The following is an 11,016-nucleotide window of genomic DNA, read 5'->3' on the forward strand; positions in this document are numbered from 1 at the left end:
AATTCGATTTTCAACTTAATTGAAAACCTCTTTTTACTTCAGTAGTTTTCATAGAAGGTGGAGAGACAGTTTCTAAATATTGTTGCTGAATAACTCGATGTATCAGTTAAATTAGTTAAAGGGAAGCCCCTGTTTTGCATGTGGCTATCCACTCAACCACTCCAAAACAATTCGTCAATCACCTGTTCATGGTTTGGGCAAAGTAACCATCTGCCTTTCAATTCTGAAGAGACATTCTGCTAGAATCATGGAATTATTTATAATAAAAACTTACTCGGTTGAATTCTCCTGTTGACATAATAATAAAAATATATAAGATGATATTTTAAATTGTCTAGGATAATTTAATGATGAGGCGCTGCCACTGAATGATGAGGTTCAGTATTTCTTGACAGCTGTGTGTCTGGATATTATTTTATAACCTTACAACTGCTCAGGTATACAGTGAAGATCAAGCAAACTAATACCTGCTTGGCATGGTTGCATTTTTCCTGTTTTGGTCATGTATAGTGTAATTTAAAACTGTAAACACATTTTCAGAATCTACTCTATTTGAATTTTTCCCCCTCAGTATGTAAGGTAATTTTCTAGCTGAGCAGTTTGTGAATGAGCTTCAAAATACTCGATGAGAAATTGAGAATCATGAAATGGTCGCAGAATCAGCCAGAAGTATGTCAGTTCCCTCTCCAGAGAGTACAGAGAAATGTGTATAAGAGATATCAGGTACTCTGAAGTACAGAGGTTCTAAATACACTGTGGTCCCGATGTAGCAAAAAACAAATAATGATGTTAAAAACATAAGAAAATACTTATAAAATGCTGAAGGTCTTTTTTGAAAAATGATTTGCCATTATGTCCTATATCACACATATTTCCTCCTTGTTAAATGTATCACCAAATGATCAATAACCTTAAAATAATTTGGAAATGCATATTATATAACCCACAGCAGATCTGGTAATCTATCTCTTTCATTTGTCCCAGATTAGTTTTGTGGTAGGAAACTCAAATGGCTGTACCATGAGAGGCAGGCCATTAAAACATTTAAATGGTTTTACAGTGGTATTTTTCAAATGAAGAATGAAGTTCATAAATTTCAGCGTCAGTGGAGAAATGAGTGAGGGGGGTCGGCATCTCTGGAAGCTCTTTGAAAATAAAGCATTCATTATTTTGTTGTAAAAATCAGATATCTATAAAGCCATTTATAAAATAACTAGTTGGACATCTAGCACACCTACTTATTTTCATTTGAAAATTTAGCCATGCTAAGATGCATTTGAGGTTAAAACATTTCTTTCCTTCCTCTTTTCACGTAACCTCTCACGGTCTGAGGACCAGAGACTTGTTTAGAACTTACCGAAGTTTCCCAAAGCAAAACCACGCACAAGCTCCTAATTCAGCTGCCAGATCTGTGTGCAGCTTCGTTCAGCTTCTCACTACGCTAGGCATCACTTTATTAATCATGTATGAATTTCTGTGCATGCACCCTGAAGCGATCACACACACGCGGTGCAATCCCAATCAAAAACGGAAGCCTTACCTGATGGCAGAAAAGGCAGCTGCAGGAGCAGCAGCACCGACGGCCGCAGCAGGGTGCCAACAGCTCAGCCTTGCGCGGAAGGTGAGACCCTTCTCTTCTGTTTCCCCTTTCCAAATCACTGTGCCAACACACTGCTTTGCATTTTGTCCGTTTTCATTCAAAGAAGGTTCTCCAGGCCGGGCAGCCAGTAGACACCACTTTCTTCCTGGAAGAGGCTGCCTCTCTTCTCAGAAAAGCCTGGACCCCTCTCTGTGGCTCCCTCCACATTTACCCTTCAGATCAATAATGCTCTCGGAGCGGCTGGAGCTCAACTGCAGCGGCGAGCGGCGAGCCAATGGGGGCCCAGGATTCCCTCCTGTCATCTCCCCGCCCTCAAAACAAAACACAGCGTGCCTTTGACACATCATTGAGTAGTGAAAAGTAATTGAATCCTATATTTGAAATGTATTTTGTTTGTTCTTTTTCCCCCCTAGCGTTCATTGTAGAATGCTTTGAATGAATCCGAGGACTCCTTAGCTCTCAGAAGACTCATTAAACGAGCCTAGCAGCGGGTGAAGATTAGGCGCTGAGAAAGTGATAGCACCTGGGTTAGCACCCGAAGCTTTGCTTTTTAAATGCTTGAGATCTATTGCATATCAGAGAACTGTCACCTGGGAGGAAAAAATCTTGGGTTCTATTAGTCTTTCCTCCACTAAGTCGCTTGAGTCTTTTTTGTGAATCAAGACAATTAATTACGTTTACCTGGAAGCTGTCTCAATGTTTAATTGTCTAAACGAGAATCAGATGCTTATTGGTGACAATAACCATGCTCAAGCAATTTCTCCTAATTCACTTACTTGTTTCTAGGCTGATTTAACTTGGTTCAGAGTCTATGAAGAACTCAAGATTGCTAAGACTATATACATTAGTCTGGTCTGTTTTAATTTTGTCATGTTTAAATATTGTAAGATTTTAAAAATTAATGTTAATTTCTCTTTATATGAGAGAATTTATTAATAATTACCTAAAACTTTATAGAATATTATAATGGCAATAAAATATTACAATGAAAAGTGTTATTGTTGAAAACCTATTCCTCCAAAAGCCACAAAACAACTTTGCATTCTTTAACCATGATTATCTTTCTTTGTGTTTCACTATTAAAGTGCTAACTATTGAATAAACATTTGCTTAAATATATTCACCAAGAATCGTGTATTTTCTAAGACTCTAAGTCATTTTATTATTCAGACATCAAGAATGCCACAATATTTCAGATAATCATTTAATTTTGTTCTATAAAAAATCTCAAGAGTACAGAGTCTCAATACAGTTTTAAAAATATGTCTCCCTACAGGAGGACTGTACACAAATAACAATGTCTTTTCAATGCTAGTGTTGAAAAAGAATAAAATTATTGGGACTGTCTGAAATCTTTTTGTTTCACTGAATACAAATGTGTTGATGTAGGTGGTGTAGCCAAGCTTTGTGTATCGTGACAAATTGAAATGGCTTGGGGAGACTTTACAAACAAAACAATTTCGTGACCTGTCTATCACGTGAAGGGAGGCACGGAAAAATGTAATATTTACACACTGTATGCTGTGTCACTATAACAAGGTGAATGCTAACTTTATTGTAACTCATTTATGTAGCCAATAAATATTTCATTCAGGGCAGTCTCTGGCTAAGTTTGGTCACTTGGATTTTGTGAAGAAAAGAATATGCTGATGAAAAAATGAATCATAAACATTGCTTTTCCCTCAATTGTATAGTATATTTTTCATTTATTTAAATTCCTTTTTTGATCACAAATAATAGGTCATTGACTACAGAACATTGTCTTTGTACTACAGGTCGAGAGTTCTCAATGTGTGGTCCCCAGACCAATAGCAAAAACATCACCTGGAACTTGTTGAAAAGACAAGTTCTCAAGCCCTTCCCCAAGCCTATCAAATCAGAAACTTTAAGAGAATGGGACACTGCGATCTATGTTTTAATATCCCTCCAGATGCTTCCAATGCACATTCAGGTTGGACAGTCATTGCTCTAGCTAAGGGGTCTACAAATTACAACAGAAGACCAGCCACCTGCTTTTGTAAATAAAGACTTATTGAAACCCAGTGGTGCCGATTTCTTTATGTATTGTCCATGACCGCTTTCGCATTACAATGGCAGAGTCAAGTAGTAGCCACAGAGACTTACAATATGAATCCTAAAATGTTTACTATCTGTCATTTAAAAAATAAATGTTTTGACCCCTCCTAGCGCATTGTAAGATGTGCAATATTATTAGTACAAACGGCAAAAGTTGAAGAAAAAAGAGCATCTGAAGGTGGAGTGGAGAAGATCAAATTAATGAAATCATTGAGATTTGAAAGAGATTGAAAATGATCATGTAATAAATTACATTGGTGTGTGTGTTTTGCAGATTTTTGCTGCTCTCCCTGTAGGAGGGATGCACTTCTCCCCAGTCTTGGCATCTTAGTATGAAACATGAATGGAAAAGAATATTGCCATTTCCAAACAGAATATTGAAGAACAAATATAAATTTGTGCGCACTCTATCAGCATGGGTTGTTGAAAGAAGAGAACATTGGAGTCTTATTTGTCCCTAGATGGACATGTAGCATGGAAGGATAAAATAGCTTTTATTTCTACACCACTGAGATTTGGGGATTTTTTTGTTACTAGACTAGTAGTATCTAATCTCTCCTGACTAAAACAAGTTACAATTAATGTAAGCAGAGGTAGGAAAACAAGCATTAAAGCTTGTTTTGTAATGTAATGACTGGGACAAGGCATTTGCCTGGAAACTCAAAAATTACTTTTCGGAAAATAAAATAAATCAATAGAATTTGTTTAAGAAAATAAAGACTGGAAAGATAAAAATGGATATTAAAACATTAGGACAAATAATTAAGGCTAAGGACATCAGACTTAATTTATTAGCAATGGAAGCCATAAAGGCTGTTTAGAAAAGGTATGACATCATCAAAATTATGCTATAAGATTACTCTGTTGGCGAGGAAGAGATCAAAGGGCAATAAACAAAAGAAAATTCATCACAAGGCCGTGAAAAATTAAAACATGATGTAATATGAGCCACTATTCAAGTATCGTTACCCTTATACTTACATCCAGTGAGTCAAGTTCCATCAGTTGTACTTCCTAAATACTAGTTAAAAGCATCATTTTATCATTTTCTTTATCCACCATTATCATTGTCATAGCTGTTGGATTGCATTGATTGAACTTTTACTTCCAAGACTTTTGTAACAGTCTCTTAATGGGTATCTCTGTCTCCTCTACATTTTATTATTGGTTAACTATACACAATTTTATACAATTATATACAAACAATTGTGAAGATTTGTTTCACAGCTTTTTTACTGCCAGACCCAACCAGACTGATGGGACATTTCCTGTATCCTCAAAGGGGAGGGAAAGAAGATATAAAAACAAGGGAATTTTCATTCAGACAACTAAAACAGTAACTTTTGCTCTGAAGTGACTAACCCCACTTCTGTGTATATATCCTTGACTAAAGAAAATCACAGACACATTGCTAAGCCAGAGGTCAATATGACAGAGATATATAACCTTTCTAGAGAGCCACACAGAGGCCAGTGATGATAATTTTGAAGAGTAATACAATCTACGACATTCTCTTCTGACCCCAAAACAACAAAGAGATGAAGTTGCCTACCAGGTGGTCTGCATGTCTAGGGAAAAGAACACATTTTCTTTATATGTGTTTTGCCATTTCATATGTTGTGCACATTCAACTGAAATGATTTCAAAGAGAAAAAAATAAACAAAAGCAAGAAATTGCATCAGAATCACTGACATGTATTTAATTACAGATATATATTGTAGGGAAAAGAAATATTCAGTGTTCAGTGTTTTTAGATCCTGAACATTGTTGATCTTGCTTGTATTCCCATTGAAGCAGAGGATGAATGAAAGACCCACGTGCATATAGTTTATGTGTCAGATTATCTTCAGAGCAAGTGTAAAGGGGCTTCATTGAGGTGGCCACCGTGGGTAACACAGCTTAATTACACTCGGATTTCTGGAGAGGTATATAGAATATCCCTCAGAATTTCCCAAGCAAAAAAAACAGAAAACTCCTTCCCTTGTCAGCCTAAGGCTCCCCTCAGGGACGTAACTGTGCCCTCTTTTGAAATATATATACATATGTAGGCACACTGACTCCTATCATCTCCCCCTTTCGTGTAGAAAGAGTCTGAGGGCAGAAGGCAAAGACAAGCCATGCTCACTTGAGAAATTCACCATCAGCAAAATAGTGAATCACAGCCATGTGAATCTAACCCTCCAGCTGCAACTGAAATCAGAGGGTTTATGAAAATGTAAGCTGTCATCTGATAGCATAGGATAATATTTATGTCAATAACAAGGGCCAGGGCCAGGTGCAGTGGCTCATGCCTGTAATCCCAGCACTTTCGGAGGCCTAAGTGGGTGCGTCACTTGAGGCCAGGAGTTCGTGACCAGCCTGGCCAACATGGCAAAACTCCATCTCTACCAAAAATACAAAAACTAGCTGGGTGTGGTGGCATGTGCTTGTAATCCCAGCTATTTGGGAGGATGAGGCACAGGAATCGCTTGAACGAGGGAGTGGGAGGTTGCAGTGAACCAAGACCGCACTGTTTCACTCTAGCCTGGGAGTCTGACGAGACTCTGTCTCAAAGGAAAAAAAAAAAAGAAAAGAAAAAGAAAAAAAAAGGGACAGAAGGACAGAGACGATAGGTTCACAGAACTGTGATGTTGAGTATTTTGGCATTTGGATTCAGATTAAGAAGTGATATCCAGATAGACTGGGATGAGTTGATGATTCATGAACTATTGAATAGAAACTTCTGCCCCAGCACATAGCAGAAAATAGAGATTGGGCTAGTTATCTAGCAGCAGTGATAGTAAAATACTATGATATCCATGACTAATAATAAATAGATTAGTTTACTGAGCACTGACTAGGCATCAGGCATCCTATTAAATATTTTACTTATAGTTTTATACCACATGTCAAGCTGCTACTATTATTTTATCTAGTTTACAAATAAGAATAACATTTGATGGTCACATGGTACCAGTGGAGTCAGGATCTGGGTTATGGCAGCTAAACTCTGTTTTGTCCTCATTAACCTCTAATGCTTGTCTTTCATATTTCTTTACTGTCATATGATATAGCAGAATAGAGTTATTGATTTCAATGGTGCAAAATATTTTGATTACTAAAAAATACCATTTTCCCCTGATGAATTGACTGATGTTTTAAAAATCCATCCAACAAGTAACTGTTGAATCCTATAATATAGATTGCTTTGTTAAGGCAAATGGTGAATGCAAAATAGTGAACACTATAATCTCTGGAAACCAAATAAAAAGACTTCGGCTCTCAGAAGTATACAGCAACTACATATTTTACCACCAACCACATGCCCAACCAATGGTATATACAAATTAACTATTCTTATAATGAAAAACTTTATCCCAATCATAAATGCGTCTCCATTCGGAATAAAAATAACTGTAACATTTGAAAAGGAAAGCTTTGTCACAAAACAATGACCTTCAGACTCAGCAAAGTTGCAAACGGGTAGAGATCGACCTGTTTTACTGGTGTTCTCACTGACTTGACTAGAAATGTACATTTGACTCAGCCTTATATGGAATACACTAATTTTCAAAGTCCATACGTATGCTTGTTATGAACATTATCTTATTCAAAAGCCCCAACGGTAATGTAAAAAAAAACCCATTTCCATTTTATAGGGGATGTAACTGAGGCTTAGTTAGAAGAGAAATACTCTTGGGTGGGCACGGTGGCTCACGCCTGTAATCCCAGCACTTTGGGAGGCCGAGGTGGGTGGATCACCTGATGTCAGGAGTTCAAGACCAGCCTGGCCAACATGGTAAAACCCCATCTCTACTAATAATACAAAAAATTAGCTGGGCATGGTGGTGGGTGCCTGTAATCCCAGGTATTCGGGAGGCTGAGGTAGGAGAATTGTTTGAACCTGGGAGGTGGAGGTTGCAGTGAGCTGAGATTGCGTCATTGCACTCCAGCGTGGGTGACAGAGTGAGACTCCATCTCGAAAAAAAAAAAAAAGATAAATAATCTTTTGCTCAAGGTCACACACTGAATCCTGACAATCAGTGTCAGGATTCAGAATCATGATTTATACCTGGTGGGTGTAATTGGAATGCCTTTCTCTTCTTTCTCAAAGTGATGCCTGTGAAAACTGAATTATCAGATTTAGTACTAACTGGTAAAGCTTTCTACTTAGCCTGAGAGCTGCCATCAACGACTGAAATCCAAACTCTCACCTTACTACCACCCCATTGCTCCAAAAAATAGGACAAACTACATTTTGGGAACAGCTATGGGTATTAGTGAGTATGTAAAAAGGAGAGATACAAGAAATGTTAGCAATACTGATATGTTCTGAGGTTATTAGGGAAGGCCACAAAATATAACTGGGTTTAAAATGGGTCCTCAAAAAAGAGTATAATTTGGAGAGGTGGGAAGATCCACATAGACTTGAAGCTACTGTAAACCAGACTGGTTATGGTTAGGACTTATGTTGTGACAAATTAATAAATAAATAAGTTTGGTTAACATATGTTTATTATATATATAAATATGTTATGAATATATTTCTTAGTATATATACTATATTACAATATAGTATAGAATATAAATGTATATATTATAATATAGTATATAACATATAACATATAGTTGTATAAATTATATATATTTATTAATTATAAAATTAAAATATTCTATTTGAAGTTTTTTAATCTACTGGGAATCGAGAAAACAATAACACAAGATGTAATTATGATGCCAAGATGGCTAAGGCATGAATCATGACAAATGAGGAATGAATAAAATGAAGTATTTTGAAATAATTTTGAAATGAGAAATTAAAAGATACCATGACTTCTTGGACATAGATGATAAGGCAGAGGATTATGTTAGACATTGATCTGAATTTTCAAGTTTAAATAAAAAAAAAATTCTGTCATTAACTAATACAGAAAGTTTGGAGTCAGAATTACTTACACAGGGAAGATGGATTTGGTTTAACATTTATCTGTATGAAAAAAATTTAAATGATGAAAATATTTTCCAACCCATGATACAACTGTACATCCAGACCTCAACTTTATGTTAATAATAATATTAACAAACAAATTAATACTGTATAACGTTATAAAATAAGTATATGAAATCCATTAGATTTTATTGCTACTGGAGAGTATGCGTTCAAGAAATTCAAGCATATGTTAATACCTTAGAAGCACCTAATAAATCTAAAAATGTGTTCCCTTTTAGGTGTTTTATTGATCTTAAAACAAAATCCACTTATTTTAAAACAAAATCTGTTTATTTTCTTATTAGCAGTAATTATACATCTTTGATATCATGTCTCCTAGATATACATATAGATATAGATAAAATCAAAATTGGATATACTAAAATTATGTTTAATATATAACACTAAAATGTATTTTCTGTCAATATCCTGGTTACCATTTTGTTAGGTTTGAACTGCTCTTTTTTGTATTTTCAGAGCCCATTTTTTTAAATTTAGTTAGCAATGTTTAGTTAACAACATTATTGTTTTTCATATTTCTCTCTTTAAAATGATATCAAAATAAAATCATATTTTAGTGCTTGTTGAAATGTTAGGTTTCCTAGTTGAATATCTGACACTGAAATTCTCCAACCAGAAAGGGGGAAATTGTGTTTGTATATAATTAAATATAAGTAGGGAGAGAAAAAAAAAAGAAAAGAAATTAAAATAGGTTTTGAAATTTCTAAAGCCCTGTGTTTTTCCTAGATTCTTCTTCCTGACTATTCCTGTGTGAAATCAAACATACATCCTGTGGAGACAAGAAGTCCTAAGAAGCCTCTCTCGATTATGTCTTTGGCTACGGTACGTCATTTATTTGATCCTGCAACTCAGACTGACTTTAAATAATATAATTAAGCAATTCTGAAATGACCTCATTTTAAAGAAGCCCACAGACATCTAATCTTCAAAAACGTTAAATTGAAAAATAATAAAAAAATGAAGGCAGTGGGCAAATAAAGGTCATTTTCCTTTTTTAGTGATATTATCCACTCAGCATTGTATCAGATCATCTAAGCCAAAGTCCCAAGACAACTCCTGAAAAATAATAAAATCTTGAAGTAGGGAGAGATGGGTAAGTGCACCTCATCGTAATACAATGCAGAATAAAGGCATTAAACATGAGCTAACATAATACAAACCCAGTACAAGGGTGTCTGTTGTAGCATCATTCTATTCAATGCTAGAGTAAGCGTACTGGATTTTACTTGAACATGACAATACACAGGACTATGCTCCTTTGAGATCTCTGAGGGCTTTACATGATAAATAGCCCATTCAAAGTCAGCATACTTATATCAAGGGCACCCAAGGATAGGCATAGTTTCTGATAAACGGCCAAGCAAATTTCATTCCATTTGCAATAAAAAAGATTATAGGAAACTTTTAAGGGATACTGGAAATCACTGCATTACAAAATAACAGTTTTTAGAATGTCAAATTTCCTTACTGTTGCTTAAGTCAAATCTATGAGTCCTGGGTAATGAAGACCTGTCTAAATATAATCATGCATGAGGATAATCAAGAGAGTTTTATTTTGCTATAAGCGCTTCATGATTAAAGTAATGTGTGATTTGAAAAAAAAAAAGACAATTTGAAGCAAAATGAATAGAAATACAGCCCAGAAATAAAGAGAAATATTAGCTGTACAAAAACATCTAAGACTATAATGAAGAACACTTGGAGAAAAGAAGGCTTAATTGAGACAATAAGGACATTCTTTTAAGTTTTTTCATGTGGAATAAGCATCCAACTAGGTCTGCTTGGATTCAAAGTGCAAAATGATACCCAATAGGTAGAAGTTACAGATTAAAGTCGACCTTCCAACACCTAAGTGGAATAATCAAAAGATAAAATCATTTGCATGAAGATACAAAAACATCTAGAAGTGCCATATATATATATATGAGATATATACAGATAGATATACATAGATATATACACACACATATATTTGAAACTGAACAGCTTCAGACCTGCAGAATGGTAAAATGACAAGAATTGTTTTTCTGCTAATATCAGGCCAATGATGTACATACCATGCCAATTCTCATTTGCTTGACAGCTCCAATTTGAAAGCAATTCAAATGATTCCTGATATCCCTTATTTTTATCATCCTTATTTAATTATTATTTGCAGAACATGAAATCTACTCATTCTAAAAGTATAATGCAATGAGTTTAAATAAGTTCACACATTTGTACAATTATCACCACAATCCAATTTTAAAACATTCACTTCATCCCAGTAAGATCCTTGGTGCCAATTTGCTGTCAGTTTGTCCTTAATCCAACCCCAACCGCAGGTAACCACCTATCTGTCTTTATAGG

The 11,016-nt window shown here is 35.3% G+C and overlaps 1 protein-coding gene across 5 annotated transcripts in view; it reads right to left on the minus strand.

Annotated features, from left to right (window-relative positions):
- Nucleotides 1-1,827, minus strand: part of CDH12 (cadherin 12) — a 1,102,672-nt gene extending 1,100,845 nt beyond the window's left edge. For all 5 annotated transcript variants that reach the window (NM_001364104.2, NM_004061.5, NM_001364106.2 and 2 more), the window contains exon 1: nt 1,541-1,827. The gene's annotated coding sequence lies outside the window, so the exon portion shown is untranslated. The remainder of the gene's footprint in view (nt 1-1,540) is intronic.
- Between the last annotated feature and the right edge of the window lie 9,189 nt (nt 1,828-11,016).

This window comes from Homo sapiens, chromosome 5, assembly GCF_000001405.40.
Source record: "Homo sapiens chromosome 5, GRCh38.p14 Primary Assembly".
Taxonomy (NCBI): Eukaryota; Metazoa; Chordata; class Mammalia; order Primates; family Hominidae; genus Homo; species Homo sapiens.